Source organism: Homo sapiens, chromosome 19 (assembly GCF_000001405.40).
Source record: "Homo sapiens chromosome 19, GRCh38.p14 Primary Assembly".
Classification (NCBI taxonomy): Eukaryota; Metazoa; Chordata; class Mammalia; order Primates; family Hominidae; genus Homo; species Homo sapiens.
Window position 1 is genome coordinate 37,507,537 of NC_000019.10, and position 24,768 is coordinate 37,532,304.

General features: G+C 43.6%; 1 protein-coding gene across 12 annotated transcripts in view, besides 1 other annotated feature; it reads left to right on the forward strand.

Annotated features, from left to right (window-relative positions):
- ZNF793 (zinc finger protein 793) overlaps positions 1–24,768 on the forward strand; it is a 36,906-nt gene that overhangs the window by 1,109 nt on the left and 11,029 nt on the right. For 5 of the 12 annotated variants that reach the window (XM_047438820.1, XM_006723213.4, XM_047438819.1 and 2 more), the window contains exons 2-4: positions 729–867; positions 14,996–15,111; positions 15,874–15,918. In XM_047438820.1, coding sequence (XP_047294776.1) covers positions 15,904–15,918 — 15 coding nt within the window. In that variant the 5' untranslated portion in view covers positions 729–867; positions 14,996–15,111; positions 15,874–15,903. Of the gene's footprint in view, positions 1–728; positions 868–12,647; positions 12,777–12,994; positions 13,064–14,995; positions 15,112–15,873; positions 15,919–24,768 lie in introns of all 12 variants that reach the window. The other 7 variants (XM_047438816.1, XM_047438814.1, XM_047438813.1 and 4 more) reach the window with 3 other exon arrangements.
- Positions 22,438–23,260: an enhancer, noted in NCBI's record as "NANOG-H3K27ac hESC enhancer chr19:38020876-38021698 (GRCh37/hg19 assembly coordinates)". NCBI's record gives its function as "activates a minimal SCP1, AML or CMV promoter by ChIP-STARR-seq in primed H9 embryonic stem cells {active_cell/tissue: H9 hESC(primed)}" and the evidence as "EXISTENCE:reporter gene assay evidence [ECO:0000049][PMID:30033119]".

A 24,768-nucleotide genomic window follows, 5' to 3' on the forward strand; every position in this document is an offset into this window, starting at 1 on the left:
GTGATTGAGACTTACTTCATATCATCGGTGGAGGATCGGAGAGTATTAACGATTGGACTTTTGTAGATCAGGGAATGGAGAATAGAGTCAAGTGTGCTTATCTTAAAGGTACGCCTCAATGAGGCTCAGTGATTCGGACTGTCACTTGTGGGTGGGAGTGGGACTGTGAGAATCAACAATTGATCCTCAGTCGTTGGGATATCATTGGCAATCAGTGTGGATTCATGATTGGGGGCTGTGTAATTTCACTGGCAATCAGATCGGATCGGTGTTCTTTGTAGTTACTGACCTGTAGTCTCTCCTGGTCAGATTTGAACATAGGGGAATATCAGTGACTATGAAAACCTCTGAGGGTTGGAGATTGGAGGCCAGTGATTGGGGGCACTATGCGTGTCTGATTAGGAGACTTATAGGGGTTGGTGTTGAGGGTCCTGAAATGTGGAGATTGGGGATGGGAAAATCACAGATTTGAGGCTGCAAGCCTGCATAGCGGGAACACATTTCACTCAGGTGACACTCCCTAGCTGAATAGCAGCCAGTTCCTCTCCACCAAGGCCCATCTGAAAACTCTTTTTTGAACCCACACCCTTTTTATTGTTCTCTACAATAATGAAAATAATTTGAAAGGATCGCGTGCTAAACTTATCTAAAGTAACATGTTACTAAAGACGTGGCTTCTATTCTTGTTAGGGATCTAATGCATATTTTTTCCTAATGTTTCCTTTAAGGCTCTTTCTGGCAAAGGTAATGACATACGCATCTGTGCCAGCATCCCAAGAGTGAGGCTGGTTTCTGGAAATCCATTCTGACTCTGTGACAGCGGGGATGGATGTGACCTTGCCCGTGGTTAGAAAACAAATTTACTGAGTAAGTATCTAAAATGATAATGTAGGCTGTGTGCAGTGGTTCATGCCTGTAATCCCAGCACTTTGGGAGGCTGAGGTGGGTGGATCATTTGAAGTCAGGAATTACTAGCCTGGTCAACATGGTGAAACCCTGCCTCTACTAAAAACACAAAAATTAGCCGGGCGTGGTGGCGGGCGCCTGAGGTCCCAGCTACTCTGGAGGCTGAGGCAGGAGAATCGTTTGAACCCAAGAGGTGGAGATTGCAGTGAAACGAGATTGTACCACTGCACTCCAGCCCGGGTGACAGAATGAGACTCTGTCTCAAGATAAATAAATAAATATAAATAAACAAAATAAAATAAAATGATAATGTAAAAGATTTGGCTGAAAGAGCAAACAGAGTGTTTAGAAAATACTTTTATCTAGGCTCAACTTAAATTATCAAAGGAAGAGAAACTAGATTTGGAATTTATTGTATTCTGAGAAACTTTTTGCCTTGTCCTATATATTTTAGGCATAGCCATTTTTAACCTCCACTAATCAATTCCTTATAAAGTCCTGGCAGAAAAAATTCAAGACAGATAAAGCCACAACCGCCACAAAACAAAATGTAAGCTACTTTTAGAAACTGTTCCTCACTGAAATTAAAATTGAACTAATAGTTATTAAAATGGCTGAGATGGGATTGCAAATAAAATGGAAATAAGATTTGAAAAAATAGATTTAGGGGATATAAGTGCAGTTTTGTTACATGGGTATATTTCACAGTGGGGAAGCCTGGGCTTTTAGTGTAACTATCACTTGAATAATGTACATTGTACCAATCTGATAATTTCTCATCCCTTACCCGCTTCCTACCCTCCCTCCATTCAGAGTCATCTGTGTCTATTATTCTGCTTTCTATATCCATGTGTACACATTATTATCTTATAAGTGAGAACATGCAGTATTTGACTTTCTATTTCTGAGTTAGAAAATAAGATTTTGACCATTAATGAAAAAGTGCAATGTCAAAACAATATTTTAATTTTAAAAAATTATTACGTTTGATCTTTATGTAACCTTCAGACAAAGCACAATGCCTGTAGCATCTTAAGAAATAAAGGCAGCTGGATGCTAAGGCAGGTAACATCTTTCAGAACCCACATAGGTCAAATTTTAGTTTTAAAAGCAGATAGTCCCTGTTTTTCACTTGCACAGAATCAAAGACAGATAGCTGCTTAGCATGGGTGAAATAATAAGCCAGGGTAAGGAGTTTGGGTAATTTTTTCTCCATGTTGATTCCCTTCACCACCTATACTGTGCTCAGTGCCAGGTTTCAGAGCAAATAATTAAAAAGAAATTTTACATAAACTTTTTATTGTGATATATATGCAAAAATGTATATAAATATGTAGCTCAATGAATTGTCACAAGGGAATACCCCTGGGTAATGCACTCAGATCAGAAAACAACATTCTAGCACCGTGCCCTCATGATGCCCCTCCCAGTCACTACTCTGCCAGAGGTTCCCTAGCTTCTAATCTTAGTATTGTCTGTTTTTGATCTCTAATTTAATGGGATATTCATTGGGGGGGAGGAGCACCATGGGGAGAGGCAAGATGTGGCTGTGTTTAAACAAAATTTCCAAGTTTGAATTGAGATAATTTCATTTATATAACAGATACTTTTCCAGGTCATTAAATATTCCTTGTTTGGCCAGGCACAGTGGCTTACACCTGTAATCTCAGTGCTTTGGAAGGCTGGGGTAGGAGGGTTGTTTGAGGCCAGGATCTTGAGACCAGCCTGCGCAACATAGCGAAACTCCATCATTACAAAAAATTTAAAAATAAGCTGGGTAGTCTGGGCATGTTGGCTGATGCCTGTAATCCCAGCACTTTGGGAGGCCGAGGCAGGTGGACCACTTGAGGTCAGGAGTTCAAGACCAGCCTGGCCAACATGGTGAAACTCCGTCTCTACTAAAACTACAAAAAAAAAAAAAAATTAGCTGGGCTTGGTGGTGGGCGCCTGTAATCCCAACTACTTGGGAGGCTGAGGCAGGAGAATTAGTTAAACCCAGGAGGCAGAGGTTACAGTGAGCCGAGATTGCACCACTGCATTCCAGCCTGGGCAACAAGAGTGAAACTCCATCTCAAAAAAAAAAAAAAAAAAATTAGCTGGGTGTGGTGGCTCACACTTGTGATCCTAGCTACTGGAAAGGCTGAAGTGAGAGGATTCCTTGAGCCCAGGAGTTCAAGGTTGCAGTGAGCTATGATTGTGCCACTGCACCCTAGCCTGGGTGACAGAGTGAGACCCTGTTTCAAAAAAAAAAATTCTTTTCTTTTTTTTTTTTGAGACAGGGTCTCACTCTATTGCCCAGGCTGGAGTGCAGTGGCACGATCTCGGCTTACTGCAACCCCTGCCTCCCAGGTTCACACCAGTCTCCTGCCTCAGCCTCCCGAGTAGCTGGGACTACAGGTGCCCATGACCACGCCCAGCTACTTTTTTGTATTTTTAGTAGAGACGGGGGTTTCACTGTGTTAGCCAGGATGGTCTCAATCTCCTGACCTCGTGATCCGCCCACCTCAGTCTCCCAAAGTGCTGGGATTACAGGCGTGAGCCACCACACCCGGCCAAAAAATTCTTTAAAAAAATTGAGGCATAATACACATGTAGTGAAGTGGGCTTATCTTTAAGGTGCAGCTCAATGAATTTTTATATTACAGAGTCCTGTAACCACAGCCTAGATCAAGATATTCATCACTTCTAACACCTGGAAGGTGTCCTTACTGGTCAATACCTACTGCCACCCTAGGGGTAACTAGTGTTTAATATAGTGGATTACTTTTGCATGCTTTTGAATTTGAATTGAATTATATATCTCCCCTGTGAATCCACTTGATTGACTCATATTCACTGAATTTGATAGGATTCCATTTGAATCATATAAACGTGAAGCCAAGGCATTCATACCATGAGGTAATTTTGTTTGAAATTCTGAAACCACATGAATACCAGGACAAAATTCTAAGCTGAATGCCGGGCGTGGTGGCTCATGCCTGTAATCCCAGCACTTTGCAAGGATGAGGTGGGAGGATCAGGAGCTTGAGACCAGCCTGGCCAACACAGTGAAAACCCATCTCTACTAAAAATACAAAAATCAGATGGGCATGGTGACAAGCACCTGTAATCCCAGCTGCTCAGGAGGCTGAGGCAGGAGAATCATTTGCACCTGAGAGGCAGAGGTTGCGGTGAGCTGAGATTGCACCACTGCACTCTAGCCTGAGCAACAGAACAAGACTCTGTCTCAAAAAAATAAAAAAGAAATTCTAATCTGAAGTTCTGGCTTGGCCATCTGAGATTGCCTCTTTTCTATTATTCTCCCTGGAAGCCAAAAACATACACAGTGAACTAGACCCTGAGGTTTTAAAGTGGGTTTCTAGTAGGGTCCCATTAATGAAGCTAACGGTTAAGGACTCTTCTCAGTAGGTAGTTTGGAGGGGGATTTTCAGTCCCTTGGTCAAAATCTCTTAGTCTTTAGGGACTGACCATTGACTACAGAGACCTGAATGAAGTAGCGTGAAAAAGAGCCTCTCTAGAGGCTGGCTGCTTGAGGGCCAAGACATAGTGGTGACTCAACAAATGCAGGGTTATCTCGGAGGAGTCTGCCTTAGGGATTCTGGAAGCTGCTGGTAGATTCACTCCCAGGCAGAGATGCCTCTGTCCCTCACATACAACCTGACAATATGGGAAAGCAGCTAACCTCTTCTTTAATCTTTTCATCTTGCTCACCTTTCCACACACATAAGAGATTATTGTTTTGTTTTGGTTTTGATTTTAAATAATTTCAGATTTAGAAAAGTTATAAGAATAGGCCCGGTGTGGTGGCTCATGCCTGTAATCCCAGCACTTTGGGAGGCCGAGGTGGGTGGATCACGAGGTCAAGAGATTGAGACCATCCTGGCCAACATGATGAAACCCTGTCTCTACTAAAAATACAAAAATTAGCCAGGGGTGGTGGTGCGTGCCTGTAGTCCCAGCTACTCAGGAGGCTGAGGCAGGAGAATCACTTGAACCAGGGAGTCAGAGGTTGCAGTGAGCCGAGATCACGCCACTACACTCCAGCCTGGCGACAGAGCAAGACTCCGTTTCAAAATAATAATAATACTAACAATAATAATAATAATACAGAAATTCCTGTTATACCCTTCACCCCATTCTGTAATTAAGATTTTGCTGTGTGTGTAGAGACTTTCTTTTTCTGTCTCTCTGTCTGTAAGTTGTGAACATGATGACCCTTTACTCCTAATGTGTATTTCCTAGGTAATATACATTTTGTATGTGATCACAATAATTAACTAACCACAATATAATGATCGAAAGCAGGGAAGTTAACATTGAAATATTATTATCTGATGCATAGACTTTATTTAGATTTCTCCACTTGTTTCAATAATATCATTTATGTTCATTCCTTTTAATGGTCCAGGATTCTAATCCAGTGTTACATGTTGTATTTAGTTGTCATATCTCTTTAGACTTCTTTAATTTGGAGTATGTTCTCGGTCATTTTTTTTTACCTCTTTTAACTTTGACATGTATGAGGAGTTCAGGCCAGTTATTTTTATAATTTGAATTTTTCTGATTTTTCCTCATGATTAGAGTCATGTTGTACATCTCGGACAGGAATACTACAGAAGTGATCATGTGTCCTTCTCAATGTACCATACCAGAAGGTACACAGTGTTGGTTTGTCACATTAATGGTGATGTTAGCTTTGATCACTTGATCAAGGCTATGCCCACCAGGGTTCTCCACTATAAAGTTATATTATTACTAAGTATGTTGTAGAGAGATATTTTGAGATCATGTAATTAACCTCAAACTTTCATCCACTAGAGTTAGTATCCATTAATGATGCTTACGTGACTCAATTACTTCTAATTATGGTTACCAAATGGTGATTTTCCAATTGTGTCCTTCCTTCTGTATTTATTGTAGAAGCTTTCCCTTTTCTTCATCTGGAGGATATCAGTACAAAAGTCCTATTTGCATACAAAATAGGAGGTGCACATTAGACACTTACAAAACTGTTTAAAATGTTGAGTTAGACCATACGCCAAAACTCAGACCTTCTGAATCACAAAGAAAACATCTTGGGAAATTGACTAGTTACAGAGAAACAGTTGTCACATCATGTGACAAAGTGATGTCTCCACACAGACAGGAAACATCTGGGTTCCACTCTGGGCCAGACAGATTTCTGCAGTGTTCTCAGAATGAGGTATTGGCAACTAAGAAGACAAAGAAAGAAACTTTCAGAAACGTGGTAAAACTGTCAAAACCACATGACATGATCTATATGTGCTGTAAAACCTAACTCTTAATTTTGTTTATTCTGTGACAGTGAATCATATTATGTATTTTTTAATGAAGATGGAAAAGATTAGATGAGCGAATATGGTATGGTGCCTTCAACTGAGTTATACCCAACTGTGATTGATTTTCTGTAGTTTTTATTTTCTGTCTTGATGAAACATTCAGTCAAGGAAGTTAGAAAATATATATGAGAAGTGGAAGGAATTAATATAAAAAGAAAAATTAACGATCTAAAAAAGGAAAAAGGTAAAGCTGATAAATCTGATTTTAATAAAAGTCAATAATATAGATAAACCATTAGCAAACCTTATCAAGTCAGGAGGAAATGAACAGATATACAAATTAGGAATGTAAAAAGGGGAATAACCATATTATTAAGAAATATTTTTGTAACACTTTCATAGATTTCAAAGGTGGCATGCAAAAGATTTTTTCAGAATACATATGTAAAACTTCCTTAAGAAGAGAAAATGAAAAGATCAATAGCTATGAACGATTAAAATACTTGAAAAAGTTCCTGTCCACCATCTCAACTATCAGGTTAGATAGGTCAATTGGTGATTTCTTATTGAGCCTTAAAGTGACTTCCAAGTAACACACTATTCTTTAGTTCAAGACCAGCCTGGGCAATATGGCAAAACCCTATCTCTGCAAAAAATACAAAAATTATCTGGGCGTGGTCTTGTACACCTATAGTTTCAGCTACTTGGGAGGCTGAGGTGGGAGGGTCGCTTGAGTCTGGTAGGTTAAGACTGCAGTGAGCCATGATTGTGCCACTGCACTCCAGCGTGGGTGACAGAGTGAGACCCTGTCTCCAGTAGATAGATAGATAGACAGATAGATAGATAGATAGATAGATAGATAGATAGATAGACTCTTCCAGGGAATTTATAAAGGAATACACCATTACCCAACCCTTTTTTTTTTATATAAAGCCAACATTGTTGCATTGATTCCAAAAACTGGAAAAGGTGGCATTTCAAAAGAAAACCATAGCCCAACCTTCTTATGAATGTACATGTAAAATTAGCAATATGTTAAATAATGCATTATGACTGAGAATAAATTTATCCTGAAAGTGTAAGTTCAATATTAAAGAATTTACTAATGAATTTTACCATGTTAATAGGACAAGGGAGAATACCATAGCCGCCTCATAGATGGGAAAAAAGTATTTGATAAAATTCAACATCTGTTCTGGATTTTAAAAAACATAATGAAATAGAACAATTTGGATACTTTCTTAACTTGATAAGACCTATGTCTCAAGTGAAAAGTCAGTAGCAGACGTAATGGCAGAACTCTGCTTACCTTCCCATTCAAGTGAACACCCTTCCCTGCTTTGATTTGCTTTCCTCTAGAGTGCCTGCCAGTGCAGTTAATCAGGGAATGAAATAAGAAACAGAAGTATTGGACAAGACAAGAAAAAACTGTATTTGTAGATGAAATAATTGTCTATCCCAAAAGCTCTGGAAGATTAACCATTATAGTTATTAAGGAAGTTCAGTAAGGGGGCTGGTTTAAAATGACTGTAGGAAAATGGATTAATGACTTTTTTCTTTTTTTCTTTTTTCTTTTTTTTTTTGAGATGGAGTCTCACTCTGTCGCCCAGGCTGGAGTGCAGTGGCGCAATCTCAGCTCACTGCAAGCTCCGCTTCCCGGGTCCACGCCATTCTCCTGACTCAGCCTCCCAAGTAGCTAGGACCACAGGTGCCCGCCACCCCACCCGGCCAATTTTTTTGTATTTTTAGTAGAGACGGGGTTTCACCGTGTTAGCCAGGATGGTCTCAATCTCCTGACCTTGTGATCCGCCCACCTCGGCCTCCCAAAGTGGTGGGATTACAGGCGTGAGCCACCGCGCCCAGCCTGATGACTTTTTTTATTGCAGTCAGTAATTAAAAGGATGAAAATATGCCATTTAGAATGGTAACTGAAAACACAGTTGACTATCCAGTAACAGATGAAAGAGAAAATTGGAGTACCTGTGTGAAAGCATAAAACATTGCATTTTGAGATGTATAGAAAGTCTTGAATAAATATTGAAGCCTTGTTCTTGGATTGGAAGACTCGACAATTTTAAAAATTGTCAGTATTTTCTTATATGAATGGACAAATTCAGTGCAATGTTAAGCAAAATCTTAAGAAGGGATCTCTTTGCCCCAAATTGTAACAGAATAATTCTGCAGTTTATGTTGAAGATGAAACATTTGAGAATATCTAGGACATTTATGAAAAATAAGTAACAAGAGGTAATGTGCTAGACAAAGCTTTCAAACATACAGCTTCAGGAGATAGAGGCTACGACCTAAGAGGAAGAATAAGTTGAGGTAGAAGATACTGAGTTCACTTTTGTGAAACCACAATGGGTGGCAATGAGAGATCTATGAACTAGTTTGTTTTGTTTTGTTTTGAGACAAGAGTTTCCCTCTTCTTGCCCAGGCTGGAGTGCAGTGGCGCGATCTCGGCTCACTGCAACCTCCACCTCCTGGGTTCAGGCGATTCTTCTGCCTCAGCCTCCCAAGTAGCTGGGATTACAGGCATGTGCTGCTACACCCGGCTAATTTTTGCATTTTTAGTAGAGACGGGGTTTCACCATGTCAGTCAGGCTGGTCTCAAACTCCTGACCTCAGGTGATCTACCTGCCCCGGCCTCCCAAGTGCTGGGATTACAGGTGTGAGCCACTGTGCCCGGCCTATGATCTAGTTTTAAGATTGTGACTGAGAGCATCCAGATGATGGTATCTATATGGTAAAATATGGCTTTTGAGTTCAAATGTTAGGGACTGATAAGGGTGTGTAAGTCACAATCACGTCACAATGCTGACTGAGATGGTGCCCATCAGATGGCTGCCATGCTGCTAGAAGAGTGCCGGACTGCAGGGCAATACTGCTTTCCAAGATTGACTCTTTTTTTTTTCTTTTTTAAATTTTGATTCTTGCTCTGTCACCCACACTGGAGTACAGTGGTACGATCTCAGCTCACTGTAACCTCCACCTCCCAGGTTCAAGCAATTCTTCTTCCTCAGCCTCCTGTGTAGCTGGGACTACAGGTGTGACCACCACACCCAGCTAATTTTTGTATTTTTAGTAGAGATGGGGTTTCACCATGTTGGCCAGGCAGGTCTTGAACTCCTGGCCTCAAGCGATCTGCCCACCTCGGCCTCCCAAAATGCTGGGATTACAGGCATGAGCCACTGTGCCCGGCCTGAGATTGACTCTTTACTAAGAAAGATAATGATTGACCTTCATCTTCAAGTGGATTCTCCCCATAGTTGCCCAGTTTTAGGGAGGAATTGGGGCTGAGGGAGGAAGGGAACTTTGTTTTTCACATTTCCTTACTTCATCAGGATAGGTGGCACTGATTTTATCTGCCACACTTGGCTCTGTGTGCAGATGGGCATCCCCAGTAGGAAAAAATCTGTTTTTAAATAAAAAAGGAAAATTACTAGACTAATTTTACCTTGTTGAAGGAAATCGAAGCAAATATTCATCATAGTTCTACCATATGTATCCAATTACTGTTTCCTGCCTTCATATTTTAGTCTGTATCTACAGCTGGAGGTGATTTTAGTAATCTACAGCTGGAGGTGCCTGTAATCCCAGCTACTTGGGAGGCTCAGGCAGGAGAATCCCTTGAATCCAGGAGGTAGAGGCTGCAGTGAGCTGAGATCGCACCACCGCACTCCAGCCTGGGCAACAAGAGAGAAACTCTGTCTCAAAAAAAAAAAAAAAAAAAATGTGCACAGCAAATGTTACATTGCTCTTTTAGAAGGCAAATCTGTCTCTGAGAGGCAGCAAGACTGAGAAGTTATAAACCCAAGCGCCACAGCCAGGCTAGTCGGGTCTGTATCTCACTGCTGCTGTGTGCTAGTTCTTCAGCTCTCTCAGGCACTACGTCTTTATGTAGAAATGGAGTAGGACTCGGTTTAGAGGGCAGTGTGAGGAATAAATGAGTCCATATGAGGAAATAACCTTGCACAGTGCCTAAGTTGAGATCAGGGCTCAATAACTACAAGCTAGGTTTTTTTTTTCTATTTCTATCAGTTTCTATGATGTGTCATAGTTTTATTTGTTCTTCCTGTGTGTGCTTGTTTTGATTTGTCATTATTGTACATTTTGTTATTGTTATTATTGCTGTTACCCAAATAAATGTATAATTATGAGGCTATTGGAAAAGTTAGAAAATGAACACTTCGAAAATGAAACGTAAATTCCTTTCAGTCCCTTCACTCAGAGAAAGCAATGTTAATATTTTCATAGATTCGGACTTACATAATTTTAAAAATAGAATTATGCTTCACATTGTATGTTATGACTTGTATTTTCTGCTTCAAAATACATCACAAATGCAGTTCCAAGTCGGAGTACACCACTCCATTATTATTATTATTATTATTATTTTCTGAGGCAGAGTCTCGCTCTGTCGCCCAGGCTGGAGTGCAGTGGCGCAATCTCGGCTCGCTGCAACCTCCGCCTCCTGGGTTCAAGCAATTCTCCTGCCTCAGCCTCCCGAGTAGCTGGGATTACAGGCCCCTCCCACCATGCCCAGCTAATTTTTTCTGTTTTTAGTAGAGACAAGGTTTCACCATGTTGGCCAGGCTAGTCTCGAACTCCTGACCTCAGTTGATCTGCCCGCCTTGGCCTCCCAAAGTGCTGGCATTACAAGGTGTGAGAAATGGCACCTGGCCTCCACTACTATTTCTAATGCCTGCCTTGTGTTCCATTCTGTGGCTCACCAATATCAGCCTGCCAATCTTTTAATTGCTGGGACAGGCTAGGTGTGGTGGCTCACACCTATAATCCCAGCACTTTGGGAGGCCAGGGTAGGTGGATTGCTTGAGTCCGGGAGTCCAAGACCAGCCCGAAAAACATGGTGAAACCCTGTCTCTACAAAAAAAAAAAAAAAAAAAATTACCCAGGTATGTTGGTGCACATCTATAGTCCTCCTACTCGGGAGGCTGAGGTGGGAGGATCACCTGAGCCTGGGAGTTTGAGGCTGCAGCAAGCCATGATCATGCCACTGTACTCCAGCCTATCTCAAATAAAGAAATAGATAATGAAAAAAAAATAAATTATTGTTGGGACATTTTGATTGCTTCCAGTTGTTTTACTTTTGTAAGCAAAGGTGAGATGAACATCCTTGTACCTTTATCTTTTATTTTAGCGAGACTAATTAGTTCCTTGAGACACATTATTGGATGTTGAAGAGTGGTTTAATGAGTGTGCACTCTAAAAATTCTGATAGGGCTGGGCGCGGTGGCTCACGCCTGTAATCTCAGCACTTTCCGAGGCCGAGGTGGGCGGATCACGAGGTCAGGAGATTGAGACCATCCTGGCTAACGCGGTGAAACCCTGTCTCTACTAAAAATACAAAAAAATTAGCCGGCGTGGTGGCAGGTGCCTGTAGTCCCAGCTACTCGGGAGGCTGAGGCAGGAGAATGGCGTGAACCCAGGAGGCAGAGCTTGTAGTGAGCTGAGATCATGCCACTGCACTCCAGCCTGGGCAGCAGAGCAAGACTCCGACTCAAAAACAAAAAAAATTCTGATATAAATTCCCTTCAGAAAGCTGGAATATCCTGCCCTCCTACCAGCAGTGTAAGAGATATGATTTCCATCTTTGCCAATCTTATAAGCCAAAAAGACCATTTTAATAATCTTGTGGAAAAGACTTTTACTAAAAATACTACCAGAAGCAGAAACTATAAGGGGAAAATATCAACAAGTTGACTATTAAAAATAACCAATAAAACTTGTTTGGTATTTGGAAACTAATAAACCCAGTTTAAGGACAAATGACAAATAAGGACAAATGTTATACTATAAAAACATATTTATAACAAATATGACAAAGGATTAATAGCCTCAATATAGAAAGAACACTTGTAAATGAATTTTTGAAAATAACTCAGGAAAATCAAAAGTTAAGAGCATAAACAGATTGTTTACAAAAGAAATGCAAATGGCCAATAAATAGATGAGGAAAATATCTTTCTCCATTGGAAATCAAAGAAGGGTAAAATAATAAATAAATGATAGGGATACTGAGACACAGATAGACTAAGTAACTCATTCAACATCACACATCAGTAAATGGCAGAGCCTGCATTTGAACCCAGGTTGTCTGGCTCCCGAGTCTGTTTGACAGCCTCTTTCTGTTTTCACAGGTGAGGAAACAGGCCTAGAGAGGTAAAGTGTCTAGCCCAGATTCTCTCAGTCAGTCAGAGGAATTACTTAGCTTCAAACTTGTATCTGAGTCATTCCTTGGCTCAGGGAGTGACTCAGACACAAGGGTCTTTGTGGGAGTTCCCCCTGTCCCAGTCCCAGAACAGAGCCATCACTCAGCTGTCTCCTGCACAGCCTCTGCAGGCTTTTCCCCCTGAGGCCCCAGGCAGTGTTTGGGGAAGGACGATTGGATGACTCACCATGGGATCTGCTTATCTTCAGGTTCTCTGGGTGCCCTGCAGACCTTTGGATCCTGCCACCTTGCTGGACGGGAGGGCTCTCTAGCTCCTGCCAGCCCTTAGAGCCACAGGACCTTGGTCACAACATCTACAGAAGGCCCTGCAGCTAAGTGTGAGTTACTGTTGAGAGATGGAGCTGTGAGTGCCTGGGCAGGCCAGGTTAAAGACACTGTCCAGGAGAAGGGAACTTGGGATGAAAATTCCCTTCTGAAGGAATCACTCAGACCCCATACCTCTTGTCAGAGCAAAGACTCCCACATAAAAGGAAATAGCTTCATCCCTGAGCCAGAAGCTGAGCAAGACCAAACCTGAAGACGTTACTCTTTCCAGGGACTCTCCATGGCTAAATGAAGGGAGGATGGTTGGCCCAAGATCCAGGAAGACAGAGTGAAGGGAGAGGTAGGGAGGCCAGAGTCTCATGGCGGGTGCGATAGGCATGTTCTTTCAGGAGAAGGGGGCATCTTTCTAGCCCATTGCGTTCTGCTATCTTGTGGTATGGGGTGTGGCCCATCTGCTTCTTTATTCTTGCTGGACCTCTCTAGACTTGCTCTCCCGTCATTTTTGGCACCTCACCTGGCCTCTAGGAATGTGATTAGTTCACTCCATCCTGACTCAGAGGCAGAAATGGCCCTGGATTCTCAGAATGGTGGTGGTGGCAGAATTTATGGACCTACTGTATATAATTTTGTTTTGTTTTGTTTTTTGAGACGGAGTTTCACTCTTGCCACCCAGGCTGGAGTACAATGGCAGAATCTCAGAATTACAGACATGCACCACCATGCCCGGCTAATTTTTTTTTTTTTTCGAGATGAAGTCTCACTCTGTCGCCCAGGCTGGAGTGCAGTGGCACATTCTCGGCTCACTGCAAGCTCCACCTCCTGGGTTCACGCCATTCTCCTGCCTCAGCCTCCCAAATAGCTGGGACTACAGGTGTGTGCCACCATGCCCGGCTTATTTTTTTTATTTTTAGTAGACACGGGGTTTCACCGTGTTAGCCAGAATGGTCTCAATCTCCTGACCTTGTGATCTGCCCGCCTCGGCCTCCCAAAGTGCTGGGATTACAGGCGTGAGCCACTGTGCCTGTCCTGATTTTTGTATTTTTAGTAGAGATGGAGTTTCACCATGTTGACCAGGCTGGTCTCGAACTTACGACCTCAAGCGATCCACCCACCTCGGCCTCCCAAAGTGCTGGGATTACAGGCATGAATCACCATGCATGGTCAATTCTCTTTTTTTTTTTTTTTTTTTTTTTGAGACAGAGTTTCGCTCTTGTTGCCCAGGCTGGAGTGCAATGGCGCGATCTCTGCTCACTGCAGCCTCCACCTCCCAGGTTCAAGGGATCAAGGGATTCTCCTGCCTCAGCCTCCTGAGTAGCTGGGATTATAGGCACGCTTCACCACGCCTGGCTAATTTTGTACTTTTAGTAGAGATGGGGTTTCACTATGTTGGTCAGGCTTGTCTCGAACTCCCAACCTCAGGTGATACACCTGCCTTGGCCTCCCAAAGTGCTGGGATTATAGGCGTGAGCCACCGCACCCAGCCTTTTGTTTTTAACTAAACATTTTATTTGGAAATTTTTTTCCAAAAAAAAGCAAGAATATTTCTGTGGTCTCCTATGTATTCCTTACCTAGATTCATCTATATAAAGCCATGTTTGCATGTCCTCTCTTTCTATATACAAATATATATGTATATAGATAATTATGTTATATCATAAATATATCATTCCTATTCTTTCTTTAACTACTTAAGACTAACTTGCAGACATGATGCTCCTTTACCCATAAGTACTTCAGGGTATATTTTCTAAGAATAAGAACTTTTTTTTATGTAACCAGTAGTTTTCAAAACCAGGCATTTGACACTGATTACAAAGTCAGTGTTATAATGATTTAATAATCATGATAACTAGATTAATGTAGACCATAGACTAGATTAATCCAGTCTACAATCAGATGTCAACTAATACTGTCACTTTATAGCAACTTTTCTTTCTTGCTTTTTCTTATTTTTTGAGACCAAGTCTCGCTCTTGTCACCCAGGTTGGAGTGCAATGGCGCGATCTTGGCTCACTGCAACCTCTGCCTCCTGGGTTCAAATGATTCTCCTGCCTCAGCCTCCTGAGTAGCTGGGATTACAGGTGCCTGCCAGCACACCCGGCAAATTTTTGTATTTTTAGTAGAGATGGGGTTTCACCATGTTGGCCAGGCTGGTCTCGAACTCCTGACCTCAGGCGATGTACCCACCTCGGCCTCCCAAAGTGCTGGGATTACAGGGGTGAGCCACTGTGCCCGGGCCTATAGCAACTTTTCTTTTCTTTTTCCATTCCAGGATCTAATCCAGGATCATATGCTGCCTTTAGGTGACACATCCCTTTAGTCTCCTTTAATCAGGAGCAGTTTCTCAGTGTTCATCTTCCATGAAGTCGACATTTTTGAAGAGTATAGGTAGGTTATTTTGTATATTGTAACTCAGTATGGTTTTGTCTGATGTCTCCTCATTGATTAGGTTCAGGTATGCATTTGGGGTGTGAACACCACAGAAGGGATGTTGTACCCTTCACAGTGCATTATATCAGGAGGCACATGATGTCTTATATCTCATTACTGGTCACGTTAACTGATCACTTGACTAAGTGATACTGCCAAGTTTTTCCAAGGCAAAGTTACTTCTTTTCCTTTTATAATCATTAAATGTCTTGGGGTGTGGGGCATTTAGATACTATGGCAACCATGCTTTATGGTCTATGCTTTATGACCTATATAATATTTCAAAGTATTTGAAACAAATAAGAGATAAAGGGTATTTATTTGTTTGTTTATTTATTTATTTAATTTTTGAGACAGGGTCTTACTCTGTCACCTAGGCCAGATTGCAGTAGTGGGATCATGGCTCACTGCAGCTTTGACCTCCTAGGCTCAAGTGATCCCCCCACCTCAGCCTCCTGGGTAGCTGGGACTATAGGTGTGCAACACCATACCTGGCTAATTTTTTATCTTTTTTTGTAGAGACGGGGCTTTGCCATATTGCCCAGGCTGGTCCCTAACTCCTGGCCTCAAATAAGGTGTAAGCCACCACACCCAGCTAAAAGCATGGATTTTTGTACAATATTTACAAAGGGAATTTGCAATTTCCAAGACAGGCCTAGCTCTTTACACTCTGTTCTCTGTTCTCTCTTTCTCCATCTTCTTCCCCCCACATGTCTACAGGTGTCAGATCTTTTTCAAGAACAGCAGAAAATGATCGAATACCAGGTAAGTATCACATTAAGTAGCCCAGTTTTCCTTCCTGGGGAAACTGTCCTAGAGGAAAAAAAGGGTGTGCATTGTAAGTATGTACAGTTTGTACATACAGGCTGGGTTCTCAGGGAAGCTGACTCATAGATGGAGATTTTTCTCACAGGAGGTTGATTAGGCAGGCTCTTAGAACACCTGTAAGACAGTGAGGGAAGCTGGATTGGGCTGAGGGAATTGTTGAACAGAGGCCTTAGTGGATCTTATCCTCTGGAGCTGGGATGGCCTTCAGCATTGTTGTGAATGGAGGCAAGGAGGCTTTTATATTCTGAAATCAACTAATCATTGATTGTAGGCTGCCCCGAGGAGGGTAGATATCCTTGGATGGTGCAGTACCCTTTGGCCAAGGATAATTCTCAGAAAGGTTTTAAGCCGGCCGCTAGGGGTAGCTCATGCCTGTAATCCCGGCACTTTGGGAGGCCAAGGCAGTTGCATAACCTGAGGTCAGGAGTTTGAGACCAGCCTGGCCAACATGGTGAAAGCCTGCCTCTATTAAAAATACAAAAATTAGTTGGGCATGGTGGTGGGTGCCTGTAATCCCAGCTACTCGGGAGGCTGAGGCAGGAGAATTGCTTGAACCTGGGAGGTGGAGGTTGCAGTGAGCCAAGATGGCACCATTGCACTCCAGCCTGGGCAACAAGAGCAAAACTCCATCTCAAAATAATAATAATAATAATAATAATAATAATAATAATAATAATAATAAAGGGTTTTAAGCCTGCAAGAGCCTCCTTTCTATATGTAGATACAGTGGCAAGATACTTAACACATACTGCTGTAACCAACATGTTATCTTTATTTTTTGTAAAGATGGGGTCTTACTTAAAACCATACCATTTTTTTAAACCAGATATGTAATGCTTCATCGTATGCAAGGGAATATGACTGATTTGACCAGTCCCTCATTTGATGGACATTTGGGTAATTTTCAGACTTGATATTACAAGTAGTGATGCAAGGAACATTCTCTTTTGGATTACCAATGTACAAAGTGGAGAGTCCAAGAGTCAGTAACTGATCTTCCTGGTAGCCCAACAAAAAGGCAAATACAGTTAGCCCAAGATTTGTACTGTTTATAAGGAAGAAGCCTATTGTTATCTCCAGTGGAAAATTAGCATTTCAAGGCAGTTTTTGAAGGTGTTTTCCAAGACGCCTTCTTAGGACTGAAGTAGAAAAGCACAGCCTCTCACAGTGTGGTCCCGGGACCTGGGCGTCTCCTGGGAGCCTGTGGGAAATATGGAACGGCAGGCTCCGCCCCTGGCCTGCTTCATGGGGTGATTTGTAGGTGTAGCCTGGGAATGTGTGTTTAAAAGGCTTTGGATGATCTTTACGCACATAAAAGTATGAAAAACATTGATAGTGATAGTAGACAAAGTTCTTAATAACTAATAAATCCGAAATAGGTTTTTTATATTGTTTCCCCTTGGAATAGAGTGTTAGACCCAAGGCAGAACTCCCAGTTTTTCAGGTGACCAAAACTGCCAAGTGCTAGCTCCCCAATGATACGACAATGTTTTCTATCTGTGTCAAAGCTGTAGGAAGTCCTAACTCTTCTGTTGCTTGCGATCCACATATATAATGGAAGGAAATGCTGCATGTCAGTGAGAAGAAAGTGAAAATACAAATGATTTCTTTCTGTTTTCTCTCTTTTTTTTTTTTTTGAGTTGGAGTCTTGCTCTCTGTCGCCCAGGCTGGAGTGCAGTGGTGCAATCTTGGCTCACTGCCAACTCCTCCTTCCGGGTTCACGCCATTCTCCTGCCTCAGCCTCCTGAGTAGCTGGGACTACAGGCGCCTGCCACCATGCCCGGCTAATTTTTTGTAGTTTTAGTAGAGACAGGGTTTCACCGTGTTAGCCAGGATGGTCTCGATCTCCTGACCTTGTGATCCTCCCGCCTCGGCCTCCCAAAGTGCTGGGATTACAGGCGTGAGCCACCGTGCCTGGCCTTTTTTTTTTTTTTTTTGAGACGGAGTCTCGCTCTGTCACTCAGGCTGGAGTGCAGTGGCACGATCTCGGCTCACTGCAAGCTCTGACTCCCTGGTTCAAGCGATTCTCCTGCCTTAGCCTCCTAAGTAGCTGGGACTACAGGCGCCCACCATCAAACCCAGCTAACTTTTGTATTTTTAGTAGAGACAGGGTTTCGATGGTCTCGATCTCCTGACCTCGTGATCCACCTGCCTCGGCCTCCCAAAGTGCTGGGATTACAGGCGTGAGCCACCGTGCCTGGCCAATAGGAATGATTTCTGTTTAAGGGGTCAGAGGGCTGCTTCAAGTGTACAGAAGCCCTGAATTTGATCCAAGGCAGCTGTAGCCTTGATCTGGACTGAGGAACAGATGTACTGCCCAGCATTTAAATGACTGTCATTCTTCTTATATGTGTGTTCTAGTTTGGTAGCAAACAGTTACACATCTTATTCCTGGGAATGTCTCAGTGTGAGGTGTTCCCAGCCCCCAAGGGCCCTGTGTCCTGAGAAGACTTCTCCTTTCCCTGAGTTTCTCATTCCTGCCTCCTCCTCCATCCCTTCTCAGTTTCCCATCACAGGAGATGGTGCCATCCCATCGGGCAGGCCGGGACCCTGAGATTTACCCTTGACTTCCTCCCTACTTTTCCCCCTCCTTCTACCCAGTCACCATGCCGTGCTAATTTTTAAAAGTTCAGTGATTCTTTTTATTTTTTTGAAACAGGGTCTTACTCACTGGAGCCTTGAACTCCTGGGCTCAAGCGATCCTCCCATTTCAGCCTCCCGAGTAGCTGGGACTATAGGCGCATGCCACTATGCCCAGCTAATTTTTTTATTTTTTGTAAAGATGGGATCTTACTATATTACCCAGGCTGGTCTTGAGCTTCTGGGCTCAAGTGGTCCTCCTGCCTCGGCCTCCCAAAGTGCTGGGATTACAGGCATGAGCTACCACACCTGGCCACAACTTCAGTGATTGCTGCCTCTTCATTCCTGTGTTCTGTGGAAATGGCATGGCTTCCTGGGTGCAGAATTGTATCTTTTCCTGGGAAATATTGACCCAGAGCCTGTCACTGTGCCCTGTGATCAGCCCTGACTGCTGCTCTTACTACCCTGGTGTGTTGTTCTGGCATCAGGGAGGGTGTTTGCTTGGCACCCCCTGTGCGCTGTGCCCTCTATGTGAGTCTTAGTGTGTCATGTGCCAGCCTCCATGGCCCCTGCCCTGCTTTTGGTCCTGCCTTTAGGCCCATTTGCCTGGGCTACTACTGCTCAGGTGCTGCTGGAAGCCCAGCATTCCTCATGGAGGTCTGCAGCCTCCTGAGAATGGGGCGTGGGCCTGGGCTGCTCTCAGAGCCACTTCGGTGCTTCTTTCCTTCGGCCACTCCTGGAGGTGGTAGGCCAGTGGCCCCAGCACTGCAATAGAGCTACCTACCCTACTTAAAGCCCACTGCACAGGCACTGAGTCCCCATTTTTTGTCCTTTAGAATTGTTTTCCTTTCTTTTTTTCTTTTCTTTTGAGATGTTGTCTCGCTCTGTCGCCCAGGCTGGAGTGCAGTGGCACAATCTCGGCTCACTGCAACCTCTGCCTCCCAGGTTCAAGCAATTCTCCTGCCTCAGCCTCCTGAGTAGCTGGAATTATAGGCATGCACCATCACGCCCGGCTAAGTTTTTGTCTTTTTGGTAGAGATGGGGTTTTGCCCTGTTGGCCAGGGTGGTCTTGAACTCCTGACCTCAGGTGATCCACCCGCCTATGTGCTACCACCCTGGCTAATTTTTGTATTTTTAGTAGAGATGGGGTTTCACCATATCGGCCAGGCTGGTCTTGAACTCCTGACCTCAGGTGATCCACCCTCCTCAGCCTCCCAAAGTGCTGAGATTACAGCCATTAAGCCACCGCTCCTGGCCAGAATTGTTTTCCCTTTCTTACAGATTTCAAAATATTGATTTATATGATTTTTCTTCTTAAATAAAATAGGCAAATTTATATAATGGTATTATGTGCCAGGCACTGTTCAAAGGCTTTACACCTTTTAACTAATTTAAACCTCATAGTAATTAAGACACACATACTATTATTATTTCCATTGAACAGATGAGGAAACTATGGCACAGAGAGGCTAAATAGTTTTCCCAGGGTAGGCTGAGCTGATATTTGAACTCAGGCAGTCCAGCCCCAATCCACTGCTTTGCATCTCATGTTATGTGGTCACATATAGTTAGGGAGCAGTCCACAAGACCCTCACTTCTACACCAACTGCAAGTTTGAGGGTCTCCCTCAAAACACTTTTGGGTTTTCTAATTTACTAGAAGGACTCATAGAACTCACTGAAAGCTGTTATACTCATTGTTACAATTACAGCAAAAGCATACAGATTAAAATCAACCAAGGCCCTGTGCAGTGGCTCACGCCTGTAATCCCAGCACTTTGAGAGGCCAAGGCAGGCGGATCGCTTGAGGTCAGGAGTTTGAGACCAGCCTGGACAACATGGTGAAACCCTGTCTCTACTGAAAAAAAAAAAAAATACAAAAATTAGCTGGGCGTGGTGGTGTGTGCCTGTAGTCCTAGCTACTCAGGAGGCTGAGGCAGGAGAATCGCTTGAGCCCAGGAGACGGAGGTTGCAGTGAGCCGAGACTGCGCCACTGCACTCCAGCCTGGGCAACACAGCAAGACTCCATCTCAAAATAAATTAATTAATTAATTAAGTAAAATCAACAAAGAGAAGAGGCTCATGAAGCAGAGTTTAGGAGAGTTCCACACATAGAACTTCTGTCCTCTCCTATGGAAGTCCCAAACAGTGCTAAATCCTCCCAGCAGTAATGTGTGCCAATACAGACGGAGCCTTGCCAACCAGGAAAGTGCACCTAGGCCCTGGTGTCCACTTTTTATTGGTGGTTGATCATGTAGAAAGGCTTGACTGTTCCCACCACTGACCTCAGTTTCCAGCCCTTCCAAGAGGTTGAGCTGATGCCTGTGACCCAAAGCCCTCATTATAAACCACATCATTAGACTATCTAGTGTGGCCCAAGACCACTAGGTAAACAAGGACACTCTTAGGACATTCCAAGAGTATAGAGATTACTTTCCAGGAGCTGAGGGCAAAGGCCACACCTCTCTTTTGGCAAGGTCAAATTCTTTACCACACAGTCACTTAAAGACAGGATCACCAGGACCTTCCTAGGCTGGTACCCATGGGTCTCCCTCAGTGACTGTCCTGCTCCTTCACAACTTATGCTGGCATCTCCAGGGCTATCAGCTCTTTAGAGAACTTTTGTTCTCTGTGCCCATAACCCGAGGCCTGCCAGGCGGTCAAGACTTCTTCTTTTCAGACTATTCCTCCTTTGGATCTCCTGCTGAACTCATCTTCTGCTGGCTTCTTAAATATTAGTGTCCCTTGGAGCTCTGGCCTGGGCACCCTGCTCTCCCCGTCTTGCAGAGGAATCTCACTTTTGTGCTGATGCTCAGCATTTTAGCTCCATTCCTGATCTTGCTCCTGACACAAAACCCACATGTCCACGTGGTCCCCAGGCAGGTCCAGCACAACAGCCTCCTCTTTGTTCCTCATGGTTTCCTCATCTCCAGGTGTGGCGCCATCATCACCCGGTTGCCTTCAAGATACCTGGGTGTTGCCCTGCCCCTACCCTCTTTCCCTCCCACAACCAGTTAAGGTGCAGGTTCTGCTCTTCTTTTTGTTTTGTTTTGTTGTTTTAATTTTTAAAAAATGTTTGTGGGTACTAGTAGGTGTGTGTATTTATGGGCATATGTTTTGGTACAGGCATCATGCAATGTGAAATTATCACACCATGCAGAATGGGGTCTGCTCTTCTTTACAGCGTTCCATCTTTCTCTAACGGTTACTGTCCTGCTTGTGAACATCACCTTTCACCCAGGTTACTATAGGGTCTTTCCTCTCACGTCCCTCCAGGTCACCCACCACACTTCTCTTTCCATCCATTGACTTTAAAACTGCCTGTGAGTTTACATTGAAAGTGCATCTCTTGTAGGCAGCATTTTTTTTTTTAATTCAGTCTGATGATCTCTGCCTTTTTGGAATGTTTAGTCTGAGACAGAGTCTCATTCTATCACCCAGGGTAGAGTACAGTGGCACTATCTGGGCTCACTGAAACCTCTGCCTCCCAGTTTCAAGCGATTCTCCTGCCTCAGCCTCCTGCGTAGCTGGGATTACAGGCACGCACAACCACACCTGGCTAATTTTTGTATTTTTAGTAGAGGTAGGATTTTGCCATGTTAGCCAGGCTGGTCTCGAACTCCTGACCTTAAGTGATCTGCCTGCCTCAGCCTCCTGAAGTGCTGGGATTACAGTGGTGAGCCACCATGCCTGGCCTGGAGTGTTCAGTTTATGAAGGGGTGGGTTGCCCCTCCACACCTGTGGGTGTTTTTCGTTAGGTGGAACGAGAGACTTAGGAAAGAAAAATACACAAAGTATAGAGAAAGAAATAATGGGGCCCAGGGTACCAGTGTTCAGCATACGGAGGATCCCGCCAGCCTCTGAGTTCCCTTAGTATTTATTGATCATTCTTGGGTGTTTCTCGGTGAGGGGGATGTGGCAGGGTCATAGGATAATAGTGGAGAGAAGGTCAGCAGATAAACACGTGAACAAAGGTCTCTGCATCATAGACAAGGTAAATAATTAAGTGCTGTGCTTTAGATATGCATACACATAAACATCTCAATGCCTTACAGAGCAGTATTGTTGCCCGCATGTCCCACCTCCAGCCCTAAGGCGGTTTCCCCCTATCTCAGTAGATGGAATATACAATCGGGTTTTATACCGAGACATTCCATTGCCCAGGGACGGGCAGGAGACAGATGCCTTCCTCTTGTCTCAACTGCAAAGAGGCATTCCTTCCTCTTATACTAATCCTCCTCAGCACAGACCCTTTATGGGTGTCGGGCTGGGGGATGGTCAGGTCTTTCCCTTCCCACGAGGCCGTATTTCAGACTATCACATGGGGAGAAACCTTGGACAATACCTGGCTTTCCTAGGCAGAGGTCCCTGCGGCCTTCTGTAGTGTGTTGTGTCTCTGGGTACTTGAGATTAGGGAGTGGTGATGACTCTTAAGGAGCATGCTGCCTTCAAGCATCTGTTTAACAAAGCACATCCTGCACAGCCCTTAATCCATTTAACCCTGAGTTGACCCAGCACATGTTTCAGAGAGCACGGGGTTGGGGGTGGGGTTATAGATTAACAGCATCTCAAGGCAGAAGAATTTTTCTTAGTACAGAACGAAATGGAGTCTCCTATGTCTACTTCTTTCTACGCAGACACAGTAACAATCTGATCTCTCTTTTCCCCACAATTTATATTAAATTACATTACATATAATCTTTATTAAATTACATTATTGGTATGGTTGGATTTGTATCTGTCATTTTAGTGTCTGTTTTCTGTTTATCCCGTCTACTCTTTTGTTCCTCTATTTCTTCTTTCCTCTCTTTTGTTGTGCTAGTGTGGATGAATGGAACATTTTTCAAAATTCTGTTTATTTAGATCAGGCACACCTCACATTATGATTTTAGTGGTTACTTCAGGGATACAATATATATCTTACTTTTCACAGTTTATTTAGAGTTATCATTATACCACTTCACATAGAATGCAAGAAGCTCACCTCATGCCTTCTAGAATATACTTTCTGCATACACTTCTTCTTGGATGGAGTTTCCATTGTCCTAAAGTCCATCATTTCTTTTTTTTGTTTGTTTTTTTTTGTTTGAGTCAGAGTCTCACCCTGTCCTCCAGGCTGGAGTGCAGTGGCACAATCTCAGCTCACTGCAACCTCTGCCTCCTGGGTTCTAGAGATTCTCCTGCCTCAGCCACCTGAGTAGCTAGGACTACAGGCGCCCGCCACCACGCCCAGCTAATTTTTCTATTTTTAGTAGAGACGGGGTTTCACCATGTTGGCCAGGCTGGTCTCGAATACCTGAGCTCAGGTGATCCACCCACCTCGGCCTCCCAAAGTGCTGGGATTACAGGGGTGAGCCACTGTGCCCGGCCCTAAAGTCCATCATTTCATTGCTGGCCGACCTCTGCATACTTTTCTCTTGTTACTAAGTAACTTGCCACCCCTAAAATCACCGTTTTGCCCCCCGGCCTTTGTTCCCACTGCTCCCCTGCATAGAATGCAGTTTTCCATCTTCCTGCGGAGGAGAGTCAGCTTTCCATATCCCTGGGCTCTGAAGCCTAACCAGAACCTGAAAAATTTAACAGACCATTCGCTTCTCTGTATGCCATAGCCTAGATGTCCTGCCATCACAGCTCTTGTGACATTTTTACCCTGATGGCTTTACATGTTGCTCTCTCTGTGCCAGACAGTGAGCTCCTTGAGGTCAGGACCCATCTATGACTGTGACCCCAGCAACACACAGTGGGTCTTCAATGTTTGTTGACTCAAAGTATGGATGGCAATGGTAGATAGCTTCCAATGTGATTTTCTTTTTCCCCACCATATATAACACAAAGCCAAGAATATAAAAGGCCTTCCAGATAGATAATAAGCTCTAACTTATAAACATTATAAAAATCAGCACCATCTCTTGCACAAAATTTTTTTTTTTTTTTTTTGAGATGGACTCCTGCTCTAGCCCAGGCTGGAGTGTAGTGGTGCGATCTCGGCTCACTGCAACCTCCGTCTCTTAGATTCAAGTGATTCTCCCACCTCAGCCTCCCAAGTAGCTGAGATTACAAGTGTGCACCACCATGCCTGGTGAATTTTTGTATTTTTAGTATAGACGGGGTTTCACCATGTTTGCCAGGCTGATCTTGAACTCCTGATCCTCCCACCTTGGCCTCCCAAAGTGCTGGGATTATAGGCATGAGCCACCATGCCTGGCCC